We start from the raw sequence: 19666 nt of genomic DNA, 5'->3' as shown, positions 1-19666 counted from the left end.
TCAAGAGAAAAATGTAATTTACCTGATTTCTAATCTCACTGCAGGTATGTCTGGGGATTGTGAAGTTGGGTTGCATGCTTCATGTGTCCCAATTTTTGTCTTTAAGCACATTTACTCAAAGACATATATTACTAATTGTGGGTAGGTTCTCAATTTAATCCACGAATGCCCCTCCACACTCTACCCCCAAAAGGAAGAACTAGGACAAACCATCAAACTCATAAAATAGCTGAAATGCAATACCATACAGCTGGATTAAATAAGGATAGCTTGGGGACTATCTCCATCTACCATCATTTCTGTTGGTGAACTCATTTCAGAATATGGTTTCAACTTACCAGCTTTCCATATGTAAAGCTATATAAAAATAGTAACGAAGAAGCAAACAATTAACAGTAACAACAAAAAAGCAGACAGTAAGAGAGGAAAAACCCCTTAATAAAAACTTCTAGTATTAGAAGGGAATTCATAGTTTATTCATGATCAAATGCTTAATTTTTCAGGTAAGAAAACCAAGAAGCTTCCAGATGATTCCCTCCCATAGTGGTATGAGTCATTCTCTGTCATTTGTGTTTTCCCAGCTGAGTCCCCAGACATTGCGAAGAGACAAGTTATGGCCACCATATGCTGTCTGACCCACACGATACACAAGAATAAAATGGTTTATTTTTTACATGATTGAGTTTTGGGATGGCTTTTTTGCAGCAAAGCTAACTGAAACAGACTGGAAAGTTGGGAGCTGGCAGCCAGTTGATTGGGTTAAGTTTTATTCCTGGAGAAGAAAATAAGTATAATTTATCCTAGTCAATTTAGAGACATCTAATAATAGTTTTCTTTCTCACTCCAAAAAGTTAATTTTTTGGACTTCTTTTATATTAGCAGCAAGAATGTTAATCAGAAAGACATAGATTGCAAACCAATGTCAGCACAGAAAAACTGACTTACCATGGCAACTGAGATAAAGCCTTGGTTTTAAAGTTCATCCTGAAATCAAAACAACCTTGCAGCAAATTCTTATAATCTTGAATTGATTTGTACACTGTTTTCTTGCTTTTAATCTTTTTCTCCTTCTATAAATACATTCTTTTTTAATTTAATGCTTATATACGCTGATTACCTGATTTTTTGAATAGAATCTGAGTAACCACAGCAAAAATTCTATATTTTATATTCAGAAGTATTTTGATGATTTTATTGGTGAAGAAATATATATGTGCGTAATATTTTATTATAATATTTTATGTTTCTTTATGGCCTTATACTATATTACCATTAAGAAAACTTTTCAATTCAGTTAAGTTACAAAACTACCTTTAAATACCTAAAATGTATTAGGAGCAGTCTAAATTCTGAAATAAATTAATAAAATATGTTTAATGTTAGACATCAAATACTAGCTAGATTATAATGTAAAAAATAAGGTAGCTATATGATTTATTTTGTCTGACCTGTATTTTAGAAAAGAGATACAATTTTAATAATACCTGGATAAGAAGATCCTTAATACATTTGTTATCATCTAACTGGGTTCTTCTTGCCCACTGCCCAGAAAATGCCAATACACTGAGGAAAGTAGGTGTTGCAGCAGAGAAAGAGTTTAATATTCACAGGGAGGCTGCACAAGGGTGACTGGATATAATTCTGAAATCTGCCTCCCCAAGAACCAGAGGCTAGGGTTTTTAAGGGCAATTTGATGGGCAAGGGGCTAGGGAATGGGAGCTGCTGATTGATTGGGGATGAAATTTTAGGGGTGTTGAAGCTGTCTTAAGGTGCTGAGTCAGTTTCTGAGTAGGGATCACAGAACCAGTTGAGTCCGTTCTTTTGTGTGGGTCCTGAGTCTGGTTGGCATCAATTGGTCCACCAGAATGCAGACTTTGAAAAGTATCTGAAACGCCAGTGTTAGGTTTTTAAAATAGTGATGCTATTTATAGGGGTGATTAGGGAAGTTACAAATCTTGTGACGTCTGGCTACATGACTCCTGAGCAGTAAGTACATTAGGAGACACTGACTAGTTATTATTTAACTATGCCTAGGTCTTATCCGAATTCAGGCCTTTGCCACAATTCCAGCCTTATGGCCTTTCATTAATGCTATACAGGCCGTTCTGGTTCCTGAGTGAGGAGGGTGTTAGTTTTGGGAAGGGCTGTTATCATCTTTGTTTTAAAGTTAAATTATAAGCTAAATTCCTCCCACAGTTAGCTTGGCCTGTGAGCAAGAATGAGCAAAGATGGAGTCAGCTATGTTAGATTTCTCTCACTGTTATAATTTTGCAAAGGCAGTTTCACATTGGTTTATCCTTGAATTTAGACTTTAACTGTTAATGATAGTCACAATTTTAAAAGCACTCACTTTTAGTGTCCTCTCTATTACAAGTTTGTATTTTTTGGGAAGTAATAGATTCTCTTTACCCAATATATTAGCATTCCCCATAATAGAACATTTTTTGCAACTCCCAAAATGTTTATTTTTCCAGAAAAACAGGAAGAGATTTCAGTTTCTAAATATTTTTAATATTCTTACCCTCACAAATAGTCACTCTTGCAAACTTCTAGCTTAATGCACACAACTATCGTAATCCATGTAGGGATTATGATGTAGAAGGTGAGAAATTTTTGGCTGAAAGAAGAGTGATGTTAGCCTTAGAAGTGAAATTATTATTTGAGATCTTATGCCCATGAAGCTTTTCTGCCCTCTGATAGTTTATCGTTTTTATTTATGGAATGATCATAGTACTCAGCTACAAATCTTGGGCTATAGAATCATTTCTGTATGAAGATTACTTTTTGAGATTCATAAATGAAATTTTTAAAAAATCAGAAAGGAAAACTAATTTCACTTTGATGTATGCTTACAGATATGTACAAGTATCGGAACTTTTATTTTTCGACTGGAGTCTCATGGGACGTTGTGGTAGGTAGAATTCTAAAATAGCTCCCACATCGCCCCTATCTCTGTGTACACGCTCTTCACAATCTCTAGCATTGTTAATTTGGTGGTTTTTTTCTCCCTTGATTAGAGTGTTATATGTCACAGCTGACTTTAAGAAAGGGCGACTATCTGGATGGGCCTTACTGGAGGGAGTTGCAATTTGTTAGGACTGAGGCTGACTCTAGGAAGTGAACATTGGTCCAGCTAACAGTCAGCAAGGAAACGGGGACCTCAGTCCTTCAACTTGAGACATCTAAATTCTGCCAGCAAGAATGAGCTTGGAAGCAGGTTTTCCCCTAGAGCCTCCATATGAGCACTCAGCCTGGCCAATTTCAGTCCTTAGCAGAGAGCCCAGTCAAGTCATGTTGGATTTTCTATAGAACTATGAGCTAATAAATGAGAGTCATTTTAAGCCTTTAACTTTATGGGAATTTGTTATGCAGTTTTAGAAAATGAAAATAGATGTGTATTTATTAGGGATCATTTTCTAACTTCAGCATTTATCTCTTCAATCTATTTACCAATGTTGCTTTATTCCTCTGTTCCTTTGCTTGTCTTGGAAGAAATAAGGCTTTGGTACAGTGAGAAGCAAAATCACAGTAATTCCCTCTACCCAGTCATGTCAGTGTGTGGGATGTTTTCCCAGCAAAGACTGAAAAAAAATCTTTAAATTCTCTTCTTCATTAAGGTACTTAGGATTGAGTTCTGTGAAACTGTTATGATGAACAATTTTTTGCTGTCTTCACTGCCATCAAAGGGTTTGGGATAATTCCTTTGAGATTCTTGAAATAAAACCATATTTTGACTAAAAGAAAATCTATGTTAAGAACTCACCTGTGATGAGAAACACTATGAGAATAGCTAAGAAAGAAGTGAACCTAGGAGGTTACACATTTTCAGTTCAATTTCTTCCACAGTTGAATTGTTTGCCTTATGTTTCCCTTTATTTTATCCATAAGATTGGTAAATAGCCAAAATATTTTAACTAAAACAGAAAGAATAGTGATAATGTTTGAAATAGAAATTGAATTCTGGACAGCTGAAACTTTGGTTTCTGCTAAGGCAATTAGGCAAAATTTTTAAAACAGACAAAACTGCATATCATTTAAGGTAACAAACTACCATTTAATTATGGGCTAGAATCTTACATTTTTGTCCCTCCTGAGGACTCTAGAAGAAAGATTATCAAGCATCATTTTATATAATAAAACAAACAACTTTTCCACAGACTCCACTTATAATTTCAGCAGTGCTTTCTGGACTTTAATGCAAGTGCAAAGGGAATTTTTGTATTTCAAAATCTGTTTATGCATTGAGGAGCTTCCACCTAACTTTCCATTGGAAAGGATGAATCTGCAATGTAATGACATGCTAGAAGGCAAATATCAAGAGAAGAATCTACTGTAGAAGGATTCTATAAATGCCTGGTTCTACAGGATGAACATGCTCAAACAAAATCATGTGCTCATGGATTCAGATCAATATTTGCTAGTACATAGATGTGTGAAAAGACATTTTCAAAGATAAAATACATAAAATTTAATCAATTTAGTCATAGGAAACATTCACTTTGAAGGCATATTAAGCAATATGTTATCCCCCTGCAAAAGAAGTTTATTAATAGAGCTGCATTACAAAAAATACTTACCTGTTATTAGTAGTAGTAGCAGTATATCTTGATTTTTGTCACTAAAAATATGGGAATTTGTTCTGTTTCCTGATATATACAAACCTGCATAATATCCTTGATTTTGCCATTTCGCTCACTATGCCTAAAATACCTACCATCCAACCCATCTCAGATGTGTTAAGGACTCATTGTTTCTCATCTGGCTCCTGCACCCCTCTTCAGTCTTTGATACATTTTCTACCTTGCTAACTTCCTCCAGCCACATTGGTTTTGGTTTTTCTTCAGTTAATCAAAGCTGGTTCTTTCCTGCTGCAGGGCCATTACAACTGCTTTGTTTTTGCTCAGATAACATTTCTGCATTCTACTGGCCCCCATTTAAATGTAATTTCCTCAAAGAAGCTTTCTGTCACCTACCCTGCTCCCTGCCAGTTAGGGCTGGTTCATCTTTGATAACTGCTTTATAAATCTTTCACTGGTCCTTCCTAGCATGTAAGAAAAACTCATGTAAGTATTTTTGGTACCAATTTTTGTTTAATTTCTGACTCATCCACTGGATCATAAGTTCCATTACAGCATGAACTGCATCTATGTTGTGAGCTGATATGTCCACACTGGTACATAATTAGCAATTCTATTTATGTGCACAGCCTGGCATATGGTTCTTGATGAAAATCTCTTGAACGAATGTTGTGAGAATCTATGGCTGAAAACTCAACAGTGACTCTTCTAATAGCAAACATCAGGAATATTTCACTAGAGCAACTTGTAATAGCGGCCACTGGCAAAGCTTGATAACATAACTAAAGTATATAAACATATAATCACACAATAATTACAATGATTTATATCTAAATTCACCTGTTGGCTGATTGGTAAATAGAATGAAAGAAAGAATAAATTACAAATGTTTTCACAGCTGACTCATGTTCTGCTGATGAAGATTCTAAGAATTGAGAGACAGTCTTGCAAATTCTGATGGGCTACTGAAAAGACCACTGGTTTCAACAAAACCAGAACTTGAAGATTAGCTAAAACTATTGTTTTCCTTAACCTTGTTCTTATCAATTGAGTTTACAGAACATCAATAGATTAATGGACCCTTATTCTGGGGTCAAATATGCTCTAATTTTGCCTGCTATCAATTTCTGTAATCTTTAATCACAGAGATGTAAGGGAAATAGCACAATTCCTGGCCTGTATGGAAGTGGAATCTCACTTCTCCCAGACCACAGCTGGCCAGGCTATGGTTACTATAAAATATCTATGCAGGAGTACATGAGGCTGTATGTCCTATGGAAAGAAACTTCCAGTTTAATTAATCTATAGAAAACAGAATTTAAAGTCTACCACCATCTTCCCGTAATGCAGATCCATTAACAGTTAACAGTGCACAAGTCCAATGAAAGTTCACAACCTATATGTTTGCATACAGTCATGCATTGCTTAACAACAGGGGTACATTCTGAGAAATGTGTTGTTAGGCAATTTTGTCATTAGGCGATTTCATTGTTGTGCGAACATCATAGAGTGTGCTTACACAAATCTAGCTGGTATAGCTTACTACACACCTAGGTGATACTGTATAGCATAATGCTCCTAGGCTACAATCCTGCACAGAGTTTTACTGTAGTGAATAACCATAGGCAATTGTAACACAGTGGTAAGCATTTGTGTATCTGAACATAAAAAGGTATAGCAAAAATACAACAGTATTATAATTATATGGGACCACCATTATATATGCAGTCTGTCCTTGACTAAAACATTATGATGTGGCTCACGACTATACTTAAAGTTATACATCACCCTAAAATATGTTAAATAAAATGTGTTTTCTCCTCCAACCTTGGCAAATATTTCTTCATAGCAATCAATAAGACCAGTTGCAAATTTAGAATTCTTGGACCCTGTGGACTTTCTCACTGGAATGTGGCAGCATAGGGAAGCCATTTTCTTCCCACTCCCAACTTCATCCTCCAATCCAGGAAACTTACACCTATGCGTGTGGACACAGCAGTTTGCATGTCCAAGCATAACTCACACCACATTTCAGCAAGTCACCAATCTTTGACCACTCCTGCCAAGGCACAGTGTGTACACATCTGGCACACAGTCTATTCCTGAGGGAGTAGATTTGGAGAAGAAACTCATCTAGCTCCAGAAGGGGGTTCTGAACCTTGTGGACAGAGAATTCCAGGATCCCATATAGTCTAGAACATGGGAAAACATTTTTTGTAAAGGTTCAAATAATAGTTTAGGCTCTGCCGGCCATAGTCTCTTACAACCACTCAGCTCTGCTATTGTAGCATGAAAGCAACCATAGGCAAAACATAAATGAATGGACATGGCTGTATTCCAATAAAAGTTTACTTAAGAACAAAGTTTGTAAATGCAAAGGGCTCTAGATTGTGGAAGCAGCTTCTGTGTAATCTCTCAAGAGCCTTGACACTGTCCTCGGCATAGCAGACCCGGGAATTCTCCTGGAAAATTGGCACCTTTGGGTGGGATGGGGCCCATGTGCCCTAGTTTGCCAACTCCTGGTTGGGAAGTCCTGTTTTTTGTCCACACTGATTTGTAACAAGAAAGAAAGAAAATGAAGAGATGGACAAAAAAGAGGGAAGATGACATTTATTAGCAATAAGTAATGGTGTGTGTGGCCTAGCATTGACTAGCCCTACCATTGAGAAATATCTGGATATCCAAACTAGAGATGATGGACAGTGGTTTGGACTAGAGAACTAGAATGGGAGTTAGTGAAAATGGTCAGACCCTGGATGTAATTTGCAGTTAAGTCAGCAGGATTTTCTGATGGAGTGTGTGTGGATGTGAGAGACAGAGAAACCTTGCAATCACTTTGTCTGGAGCTTCTTGCCATGGAATCTATATTCACTTCCTAAGGCTGCCATCACAAAGCACCACAAACTAGGTGGCATAAAACAACAGAAATTTGTTATTTCACAGTTATAGTGGCTAACATTCTGAAATCAAGGTGTCAGCCAGATCATGCTCTCTTGGAAGGCACCAGGGGAGGATCTTCCCTTGCCATTTCCAGCATCTGGTGGTTATTAGCAATCCTTGGTGTTTGCTGGCTTGTAGATGCATCAGTCCAATCTCTGCCTTCATCATCACATGGTATTTTCCCTGTGTGTCTGTGTCTCTTCTTCTCTTCTTCTTATGTCAATCATATTGGGTTTAGGATGTCCTTCCTTCTTCCTTTCCAGTATGACTTCATTTTAATTTGATGGCATCTGCAATGACCATGTTTCCAGATAAGGTCACATTTACAGGTACCCAGGGTTAGAACTTGAACATATTATTTGGGGGACACAATTAATTCATAATACAGTCCATAACTGGACTGCAGTGACTCATGACGTTTCTGAAATTTGTGTCATCAAAGAGTTCACATTTCAGAACTGGAGCCCAACACTTTCATTAGATTCTTGAATATGTATGGACCTCAACAAATCAAAGATCTAATTTAATTTTCCCTTTTAAGTATGTCTGAGCTCCAAAGTAGTCAAGTATCTTGAAGAAGCCCTTGACTAAATTGTGGTAGACCTACGGCAAGCATCATCTAACTTTTCTAGAATCTTTCCATGACTCCTTTTTTGGTTGGTGATATGGAAAAAATCATAATACAAAGAGATGCTCTATTACCTCACAAGATAATATGTAAGTGTTTTATGTTTCCAGCCTGTCTTTAAATGTTCCAGATGTGACTTCACTGCTGGGTGGAGTTCAGTTATAACCCACGGTAAAACAACAACAACAACAACAAAAGTGCAATTTTACAGAGCTTGAGACAGCGTGTGTGCCTGATGTACTTAGTCATGCTGACGTACACAGTTTGGAAATGTATACAATACTGCTCTCTTGCTCAGTCCAGGCACTGGGAATTAGGAGAAGGCATTCCTGTGCGGATACGTGACATTAGTATCAAAGTGGAGGTGGGGAGAGAGAAAAGTATTATTAGCTTTAAAAATGATTTTCTTTTTCTTTCTCAGTCAAGGGGTCTTCTAACCAGGCTTCTGTTCTCTTGCATGTCTTCAGCCACATTTTCATTCTATTCAGGTCTCTCCAGAGCTTACTGATAAGACTGGCTGTTGTGATGGTAACATGCCCCCTTCCTGCTTCACTGTCTCTGAGCCCCTGTGTGTTGGTTATTTTACTTACTTATTTAATTATTATTAGTTTTTTTAGAGACTGAGTCTCACTCTGTTGCCCAGGCTGGAGTGCAGTGGCAGGATCATAGCTCACTGTAACCTTGAGCTCCTGGGCTCGAGCAATCCTCATGCCTCAGCCTTCCGGGTAGCTAGGACTACAGGTGTGTGGCATCAAGCCTAGCAAATATCCTGTATGTCGGATGTCTCTGACACTTATGCAACAGACTGTGTGTCTTGGGTTCTTCAGATCAGGACCGGACTCTCGTTCCCTAGGACAGGAAGTCACACTTGCGCTCTGTTTGTAACAAACAAGAAAATAAAGATAGAGGCAAAAAACAGGAACATGCCACTTATTACCAATGAGTAATGATGTAGCCTAGCACTGATTGAGGGAGAAAAATGTTATTAAGTGATCTTCCTTTCCTGATTGTGTAGTTGAAAATATGGCTTTTTTTTTTTTTTGGTTTATGCTTCCCAAATAAATTGTAGAAATTGGCTGAAAATACCTCGGAGATGGCAGAGCTATAATTCACTTTTTAAAACGACTGGCAAAACATTGCAATTTTACTAATGTTCTTTTTTATTACCAAGGAAGACAAGAAATGATTTTTCAAAATAATGCAAATGCTCAAAAGAAACAATTATTTAAAACATTGTTACTCTAATTTATTATAATTATTGATCAAAGAATCAGTCTTTAATTATACTTGTTCACTGTGACTGTCTTAGGCAATCCTAAAAACACTTAACATCTCTGTCTCTTTACTATTAGGAAATTACTGTGCCTCTAACCTCCTGAGAAAATCCCCAAACCATTGCAGGAGCATTCTACTGATTGGACTCCCTGCTACTAAAAACACGTTTCTCTGCTCAGCCTTCCTCCTTGGTCTGCAATCTTGTCTTCAAGATAGAAGCCTTTCCCTAGTCAAGGCTAATCCCTTGGTAATTGGAGTCCCACGGTCTTCTGGAGAACTGTAACAGCCAATCACTCCTGCTCTGAAATTGTTCACCTGTTTTTCTCTCAAGGCCTTTACTCTTCATTGTATAAGCATAGCTATGTCCCTTTCTTCTTGTATAACAGACATCCCTGTTTACCTCGAGTCATCTCCCTATACCTTTCTTCATAGTCAAGTTTTATTAAAAACAACAAATTTTACTTTGTGTCTACTTTTATATAATATTAATTATACTCAGAAGATTATCCATTGCAACCCCACCATCCATTACAAATTACTTTCTGTCTAAAGTCACAGTGGTCTCTAAATACACAATAGAAGCTTTTGCAAACAATTATTTTACCTAATTTTTGTGTGTGTCAGATTTGACACTGATTTTACCCCTCTTTTAAACTCTCCTTCTCTTTAGCTCAGGTTATCCATTTAGCCTCCATGACCCCTGGTTGAGGGGCCTCTGCCTCCTTGTCACTGCTGAGAGGGACGTGAAACTTGGTTCCCCACATGATCACCTCTGACACCACAGGGAACATGGCCTAATTACTGCTGTGTGATGGTAAAAATCCTGACTCCACTCTAGGCCTCCTCTGACACCCCCTGCAGGGAGAAGAGGGGTGCCTCCTGACAGCCAGGTGAGGATGGAAGGCCCAGTGACCTGGGACACTGTGTGGGGTGGAGGGGCGGTGGCTGGAAGGATTAAAGTCCTGAGCCATTTCATCTTAACTTTGCATTTCTACTACTTACAGCCTTGCTTAGAGTAATCACTCCACTGGTAGGAGTTGAAGGAAGGAATACATTAATGTGTCAATTTCCATATTAGTTTTCAATCACTACCATAACAAATTACTATAAACTATTGACTCAAAAGCCACAAAAATATATAATGTCTCAGTTCTGTAGATCAGAAGTCTAGATGCAGCATGGTTCAGCTTGGTCTTCTTTTTAGAATCCCAAAAGGGAAAAATCTAGGTTTTGCCAGGGCTGTGGTCCTTTCTGGAGGCTCTGGGGAAGAATCTACTTCCAGGATCCTTCAGCTGGTTGGCTGAATTGACTGCCTTGCGGTTAGGAGACTGAGGTTCCCATTTCCTTGCTGTCTGTCAGCCAGGGACCAGTTTGTTCTTAGAGGCAGCCACAATCGTTTTCATGTTTTTGATGTGGCCTGCTCACAACAATGGCAGGGCATGTCTTCTTATTTTTCAAACCTTTTCAACTTCCCCTTCTGCCACATTTCTTGGATGGACTAGTCTACCTTCCTCTTCTGCTATGTGATTACATTGAGCAAGCCTGATTCAGAAACTTAATTATAGAAGAAGGCTTGTGAATGGCATTCAAGATGGGGCTAAACTAGTGGAGTAATAATATCTCAAAATTTTGCATGAAAGAAAAATCACTTGAAATTAACTTTAGGAAATGCTATCTACTTATCCACTCCTTGGAGATTCACAGAGTGCTTAGCACATGTACTAGTTAGGGTGATTGAAGCCATCTGCTATAACAAGCATCTCTAACTTCTTAGTAGCTTCACACAAGCAAGGTTTCACTTGGGTTATAAGACATGGTCTTCTATGTGGTGATTTAAAGATATGGCTCCTTCCATTTTCTGGTACCTTCATCTTATAGAGCTTTCTTGGAGTTCTCTAAGGGATGCTCTGAATTCAGCTACCCAAGGAGTGAAGAGTGAAAAGATAATGAGGTGGCATGTTTGATGGTCAGGCTTGAAAATGGCACATATCACTCTTCCCAGATTCTATGGGACAGAATGAGTCCTATGGCCCCAATCTAAAAATAAAGCAGCTGGAAAATGTAGTAATCCTAAGTGTCTCAGAATAGAAAATGGAATTGGCCAGCACTCAGCCAGTCTCTGGTATGAACCTGTAAAAGCTCAGGGAAGCCCTGCAGTAACTCGTCTGTTAAACTTTGTTTGGATTCGTGCTTTTTGAATTTAAATGACTATAAATTTTTATTCTGAAATTGATACCTGCTACTAATTCCCATAATTGGTCTTATGAAGAAGATAACTTAGGAAATTTGGTTGTAGGCATCTCTTTTAGCAACTTTGGGAGATACGCTTTTAGACCACTAGGCTGTTAAATGAGGACTTAGAAATCTTAGGCCTAAATGAATAAACATTTTTAAGATAGCATACTTTACATTTAGCATATAACTCCTTTTCATATATAAGATAATCTTATTACAGAATATTCCAACTTCACTAATCCAGTGATCTCAAACCTAGACATTTCTGAAAATAAGCATGATTTCTATTGAATATGAGAAGTGACCATTGCTCTATTTTTAACAGAATTTATTGTATAATTCAGAAGATCTTTCTCTTAACTGTTAAGAAAAAGCCTTTAAAAATTAGAAAGTATTTAAAGAGCAAAAATCTGGTCTTATGAAAAGAAATCCTCTAGAAAAATAAGATAATGTTTGTTTTTCTAGAACAGAGAGAATAAGTCATTTCTTCTGACATAAATGTATAATAATGTCATATTGAGAGATCATTGAAAATAAGGTGTAGACTCAGAGGAGGAAAGGCAAGTGCAGTGATGTGAGGGGCTAATGGTTGCTGTCTTGTTGATCTGAACATGATGCTGGATTAAAAAACAGAATAATTTAAAAATTTTAAAAGATAAAATAAAGGGAAAAATGACATGAAATGTGCCCCCTTATAAACTTTACTCACTTTTTGATTTTTTTGTCTCACTATTTAGGTTTGTGTAAGGTTTCTGGTGGTCATAGGGAGAAAGAGAGTGTCTCTGCCAAGTCAGTTATGTTCCAAAAGAGGTCTGCAAATTGTGATACCCTCTGAAAATTTTCCACTCAGAAACTCCCAACTTTCAACCCTAAAAAAATTCTTCCACATGAAACTTTTGTGTCCTCAATGTCCTTCTCCTATCCATGGATTTTTATACCACTTTGGAAAAAGTGTCCCTTGGAAGCTGAACATTTCCATCATGGGTCAAACTTACTGTTAATGGCTCACAATTACGAGGAAAAAAACTTTAAAATTTTGACTAGTTAATGCTAATGTAGATCTTGTCACATCTTTACATAAGCAAATGCCCTAGGATTTTGCCTTGAGGATAGACTAGTAGTCTAGGTACTTAATTCCCCCAAAGTAAAAAATTAACGTTTATTTCATGGACAAGAGTCATTATCTAGCTATTTTATAAAATTTTAGGCATATTGCTCATTGTTACCCAAAATGGTAGCATGTTGAAGCAACCACTATGATAAAAGCAGACAAAATGACACAATTGTTTGGAGAATGAAATTTGGTCTGGTCTCCAGCTGAAGGTAGGGTCATAAATGATTCTTGTCTGTTGGAGGCTCCTAGAGCAAGCTCCTTACCTGCTGAGCAGTTTTGTACCAATTAACAGTTAGCCCAGGTTTAAGGATATGGGAAAGGGATGAGTAGCCTAGGCTCTACAGACCATATGGCCCAAGTACTGCTAGGACGTTGTACATAATAGAACATTTATTAAGCAAACATAGATTCTCCCTGAATCATAGATTCCTTATCCCATCGGTGTTTGCCACCATGATGAAAATGAGCCAATACAGAAAGTGATGATGTTTACCCTGGAGGGATTTAATGGCTGAAGTATCAAGGTAATTTCCTTATTTCTATTATGAAACCAACTCTAGAAATAATTGAGGGAGGAACTATATTTGATGGGTGGCAAATACCTCTGGTCTTTCTCTAGTAAACATAACCCTTGCCACTCAAAATGTGATCCCTGGGGCTGGGCACGGTAGTTCACGCCTGTAATCCCAGCACTTTGGGAAGCCGAGGCGGGCAGATCACGAGGTCAGGAGATCGAGACTACCCTGGCTAACACGGTGAAACCCCATCTCTACTAAAAATACAAAAACAAAATTAGCTGGGCGTGGTGGCGGGCGCCTGTAGTCCCAGCTACTTGGGAGGCTGAGGCGGGAGAATGACTTGAACCGGGGAGGTGGAATTTGCAGTGAGCTGAGATTGCACCACTGTACTCCAGCCTGGGTGACAGAGCAAGACTCCATCTCAAAAAAAAAAAAAAAGTGATTCCTGAGTCAGCAGCCTCAGCATCACCAAAGAACTTGTTCAAAATGCAGAATTTCAGGCTACATATTGACCATTCAAATTACAATCTGCAGTTTAACAAGGTTTCTAGGTGATAGAATACACAGAAAGTTAGAGAATGCACTACAGGTATGTACACCGTCATGCATGCGCGCGTGTACACACACATACACACACACACAAAATTTTGAAAGCATGGTATCTGAACTATGCCAAATTCACTGCAGGTTGGGGTAAAAAATGAGACAGCTAGGAGAGCTATGGATTTCATATCTCCTTGCAGATTTTATCCTACCACTCACATTGAATGCCAAGACATCAGGTAGTTCCCCAGAAGCCAGCCAGCCCTGCACCTTGCCTCACAGGTCACCAATACCTCTGTGGGAGCTTCTAAGAGCCAGGGGCTCAACAGTAACGTGAACTACACTGGAGGTCAGGGAGCGCTCAGTCTCATTGCTTTTCTCTTTATTTTTTCTCTGGATAAACAGAGGATTTTGGTCTCTTGGGCTGTCAATCCAACTTCTTCAACAAGCACCAAATTTTTTTAAAAAAAAGAAGAAGTAGGAAGGGGAGGGCAGGAATGAAGTAGATAACAGGCAAAGCAAATATCACACAAAGTAAACCAAATGGTATATATAATCCAGTAGAAAGAAAGAACACTGGAGGGGTGGGGGAAGGATTTTGCAGATCCAAAATGTGGAGTGACTGAGCATCAGTGCTATTGATCAAAACCGTTAAAAGAAAAATGGTATTTTTCAGCTGTGGTTTCTGAAATTTACCCCTTCTTTGTTAGATAGTTATTTAAATGGAAGGTGATTCTTCTAGTTTAGAGTTTATGTTACCATATATAAATTAACATTTTTCTTACATTCTACTGTTAAGTTTTATGAACTAGTTTATGTTAAGTGGAGTAGTGAATTTCTAAAATTTGTGCATCAACTGAACTGTGTTTTTTTGGTACATAATATAAAATTATATTTTCATCAATATCAGCAGTATTGTGGCTCAGAAAACCATACCCCAAAATATGGTGCTTTGACTTGCTGAGCTAAAGAAGCAGCCATAAGGTCTCTCTGATCTTCCTCCTTCTCCTGTTCTTCAATCCTCTGTCTCTCTCAAAGCACAGGGTAAGGTTGTTCTCTGAAGTTCTCTTATCTACCTAGAAACTGGACCCGCCAAAGAGGAACACAGTTGCCTTCAATCAGCCCTGTGAAATGTCATTAACCAGAGAAAATTAAGAGACATATCACATATCACAGAGAAAAACTAAAAATTAAACACCACATCTACAGCCTAGAGGAACTTTCTCCCAAGCTATTATCTGTTCTCTGGTCCCATTCAATTCCCAAAGAGAAACACTTGTTAACCATTATCTGAGCATTAGACCCATTCATTCCCCCTAAAAATCATTTATCACTCCTCAAAAAGGCCACATTACTCTCATCTCCCCTTCCTCTCTGACAGAAGGGTATGTAAGCATCTATACCTCATTAGGTTGTTAGGAAATCATTCGGTTGCAATTGCCCTGTGCTTATGCATGTTAAATCAATGTGTATGCCTTTTCTTCTATTAATCTGCCTATTGTCAGTTCATTTTCAGCAGATCTTCTGAAAGCAGAGAAGCAGATTATATTGAAGAACTCATTGATTTCACCATTTTCCCAGCTTCAGCTGCTTTATCTAGTTTATTTCTCACCTCTGGTCCTTTCAATTCTATACATACTGTCACTGTGGCTAGTCCTCTGGATACCGGTGGAAGAATTAGTATAATATTATATCTCACTCTTTGCATGGTACTTTTTTCAATGGACTCTGGGAATTAGGATCCTTATTATGGCAAACCAGGCTTTGGTTTTAGGGGATTCCTACATTATAAATCATCACAGACAAATTGCTATCTAAGGATTCTTCAAAACTGAAATCCTATAATTCCATCACTTCTAAATTGCTTAATTCTTCAGAATTCTAGTTTCCCACTGGTAAAATAGGAGTAAGTACATTTGTATTTTAAACCGTTCTAATCAGATTTGTTTTCCTGGAGAGGGTGGTAGTTTTAAAATTTCTACCTAACAAATTATACATTTCATTCAGAAGGCCAGTATAGATCAGTGGTATTTTGTCCTTGAGATTTCCCAAGATTAAGTTTCAGAGATCTTTCTTTTTGCTACTGAAGCAAGGATTATTTCCCTCCTCTCCTACTGCCCTGCCCTTGCTGTTCCCTTCCGAATAGCCTTGCCTCCAGAGATTGCAGAAATTTACAGCCCAAAGGGACCAATGTTTCAAGGTTAATGCAGTCAATCCTGACATTCTTCTTGAAAAATTTTCCATCTCTGCACAGCAACAGTTAGTGCTGGTCAGACATCAAACATTCCTGTGGCCATAAAGCCTGCTTATTTTTTATTCCTTCTCTTCTTTTCACATGAGAATAGGATTCTTTCTAGAGGGCATTTATCACTGCTGGCTCAGAAATATAATAAAAACTATAAAATACATAAGGATGCTGCAGGAAACCACTTGCCAGGTCGCAGATGTAAAATATCCCTGTAATATCACCAAGAAACAGCCTGGATCTTCACAGACAGGCATGTCTTTCATGTGAATGGCACACTCAAGAGCCCTTTCGAAGATGCTTCTGCTGGAGCTTGTGGGGTTGACTTGGTGCCATGGTTGGAGTATGCTCCGTGATTCCATGGTGGCCAGGAAGCCAGGGAAGGCTCTCCAAGCAATTCTCTACTTTGTTGTTTTCTTAGTGTGTTAATAAATTTTCCATTTAGCAGGACTCTTTGATTTCTTATCCCCTTCACAGTCAGGTTAATTAACAATGCTTATACTTTTACTTCAAAATAAAAGCTTTCGACCTTTCTGAGCCACTTCGTATCTGCTGTGTTGCTTGATTCTCTGAGGCAGTAGGACTTCTGTTAGGATATTTCATTTCAGATGAATATATTGAGGGTCAGAGATATTTAGGGATTTCCTAAGTTCACACTGAGCAGAAACAGAATTCATGTCTTTGATACTGTACTACAGAGATTACCGTCTGCACTTTGAAATCATAGGTTTGGGATTAGAATTTTCACTTATACTAGTTCCAAGACTTTGGACAGGTTGCTTAAGGGATCTATGTTCCGTTTCCTCATTTGTAAAATGGGACTAATAATAGTTCTGTCTCCTGGCTTTTTGTAACATCTAGCATGGCATATTTCACAGAAGTAGCATGGGCTGGCTGCTTGATGCTGCTCTTTTTCCAAACTCTAATCTCTATTTGATCCTGGCTTTGCTTCTGGAATCATATTGCAGTCGCTGGTCTGCTCACACTTTTGAAAGGAGTTCCCACTGGCCACTAGAAGTCCTCTAAATTATGCTGCCACCCTCCCATTTAAAGAAGACTGGAAAGGGGGCAAGGCAGAAGAGAAGATCCTTTCCGTGTGCTTAAAAGTGGCTGGATAGAATTAAAGGTCTAGAAGGGGTCATGGTGGCCTTTTCCTCACAATCCAGGTCACCTCCTCACACATGATTTTAGCTCTTTAAAACAGGTGCTAATTCACTGCACTTGCTTATTTTTCCCCAGCCATTTTTCTGGGCATCGATATCAGCTCAGAAGAGAAGCTGTGCACCCACCCACTAACTGCTATAGAATTGGCTGCTAAAGGCTCAAGGGTGACCTCTTTTCTGGAAAATTGCCCTCAGCTGACAGGAATCACCTTGACCCAGAAAACATACACAGCTCTGAATGAGCAATTGATTAATTTGGGGGAGCAGAATGGAAGCTTCTTTGCTTTGAAGTGGGAGGATTTTGTGTTATGATTATGCTCCAGATTCTTTCTGTGGGATCAACCTGAAGTTTTTCTCTAGCTGAGACCATAATGTTGCTGGACTTCCTCTGTATAAGGCTGTTCTTGGATTGCTTAAAAGAAATACCTGAGACTGGGTAATTTATAAAGAAAAAAGATTTAATTGGCTCATGGTTCTGCAGGCTGTACAAGCATGACACCAGCATCTGCGCAGCTTCTGGGGAGGACTGAGGGAGCTTTTATTCATGGCAGAAGGCTAAATGGGAACAGACATGTCACATGGACACAAAACAGAAGCAAGAAAGAGAGTGTGTTTGTGTGTGTGTGTGGGGGGGTTCCACAAACTTAAACAATCAGATCCCGCAAGAACTCACTCACTATCATGAGGACAGCACCTATGAGGGATCTACCCCTGTGACTCAGACATCTCCCACCAGGCCTCATGAGGTTTGGTGGGAACACATAATTAAACGATGTCATTCCCCCTCTCTGTTTTCCTTCCTCCATTTCTCTTCTCCAATAGCATCCCCTTAATAAGTCCTGTGCATTTGAATCTCTGCCTTAGGCCCTCATAGGGACTCCAACTTAATGACATCCTTGTCCATTTCTGATATGGAGATGAAGGAGTTCCGTAATTCTGAGCATTTGAATCTTAATTTTCCCTCTTGATTTGATCAGTCTTGATTTTCTTAAATATCCCTGGTAAGAACATGTGCTTTTAGCATCTAGTCCCAAAGAACCTTATCTCTACTGGCTCAGCACCTGCCTAAGAGTGTTCCATGAGGGGTAGGGGAGGGTTATGGACTCCCAGGCCATTTTGCACCCACACCCCAATTGCAGACTGAAGGAAGGGGACAGCCTGGGTTGAGGAAATACAATTAAATACATAATCTTCTCTTGTTATGGACTGAATGCGTTCTTCTAAAATTATGTTGAGGTTCTAACCCCTGATGCAGTAGCATTTGGAAGTGGGGTCTTTGGGAGGTGATTAGGGTTAGATGAGGTCATGTGGGTGAGGCTATCATGATGAGATTAGTGTCCTTATTAGAAGAGGAATAGAGACCAGAGCTCCCTCTCTCTGTCTGCCCTCTGACACACAGGAGAAGGCTGCTGTCTGCAAGCCAGGAAGAGCACGCTCGCAGGCAACCAAATCTGCTGGCACCTTGATCTTGGACTTCCCAGCTGTCGGAACTGTGAGAAATAAATGTGTATTGTTTAATGCGCCCAGTCTGTGGTATTTTGTTACAGTAGCCCAAGGTGACTAACACACCTAACAACCTAGAAAACCTCTCCACAAAGGAAAGAGAGAGAGAGAGAGACAGAAAAAAACAGTTTTATCATTGAATAACATTAAACCAAAATGTAATGTGTGTCACAGGCAATTCACTAAGACAGTGTGAAGACAGGAAAAAAAAAATTATATGGACATGCAGATACAACCCACTACATACACATGTTCTCAACATAATCAATAATAACCAGTTCTCAAGTAGGACTTGACAGCGCTATTATCACACACAGTTCATTCTAAATTCACCTTGTAATTGGAGTGACCATCCATATTAGTTAATTGGCTGTATCCAAAGGAAAAATAAACTTATTGTATCTTATGGTGGGGGGTAGTTTTACATCTTGCAGTGACATGCTCACCTGTTAGGCTCCTATCCTCCCACATAACTGGAAGATGGGGATGCTATTTTCTTTGACGATTGCATTTCAAAGAGATGGCTCTCAGGTCCTGGAGAAAGATATTCCTGGGTCTTAACACCGGAAAGAAACCTATTTAGATTTACTATCATTTCAAACATTTTTCGTAGAGATGAGGTCTTCCTATGTTGCCAGGCTGGCCTTGAATTCCTAGTCTCAAGCCATACTCCTGCCTTGGCATCCCAAAGTGCTGGGATTATAGGCATGAATCACCCTGCCTGGCCCCTATGTAGATTTTAAAATGATTTATAAACATTTCAGAGAGATAGAGAAATAATTTACAATTATAAGTTTTCTAAAATAATTTTTCTAAGAAAAGGGAAGAAGTCTCATTTTAAACAGGGAGAATGTAGGCTCTTTATTTTTCATTTGAATTTTCTCTTATACTTGCTGTGTTATGGAGGGTAGAAATAATCCTCCTT

The 19666-nt window shown here is 38.6% G+C and overlaps 1 long non-coding RNA gene across 2 annotated transcripts in view, besides 1 other annotated feature; it reads left to right on the top strand.

Annotated features, from left to right (window-relative positions):
• LOC105374660 (uncharacterized) overlaps positions 1 to 19666 on the top strand; it is a 184231-nt gene that overhangs the window by 34828 nt on the left and 129737 nt on the right. The gene's annotated exons all lie outside the window — the stretch shown is intronic.
• Positions 4597 to 5099: an enhancer, noted in NCBI's record as "NANOG hESC enhancer chr5:13540534-13541035 (GRCh37/hg19 assembly coordinates)". NCBI's record gives its function as "activates a minimal SCP1, AML or CMV promoter by ChIP-STARR-seq in naive H9 embryonic stem cells {active_cell/tissue: H9 hESC(naive)}" and the evidence as "EXISTENCE:reporter gene assay evidence [ECO:0000049][PMID:30033119]".

Source organism: Homo sapiens, chromosome 5 (assembly GCF_000001405.40).
Source record: "Homo sapiens chromosome 5, GRCh38.p14 Primary Assembly".
Taxonomy (NCBI): domain Eukaryota; kingdom Metazoa; phylum Chordata; class Mammalia; order Primates; family Hominidae; genus Homo; species Homo sapiens.
This window is presented reverse-complemented; position numbering and strand designations above follow the sequence as displayed.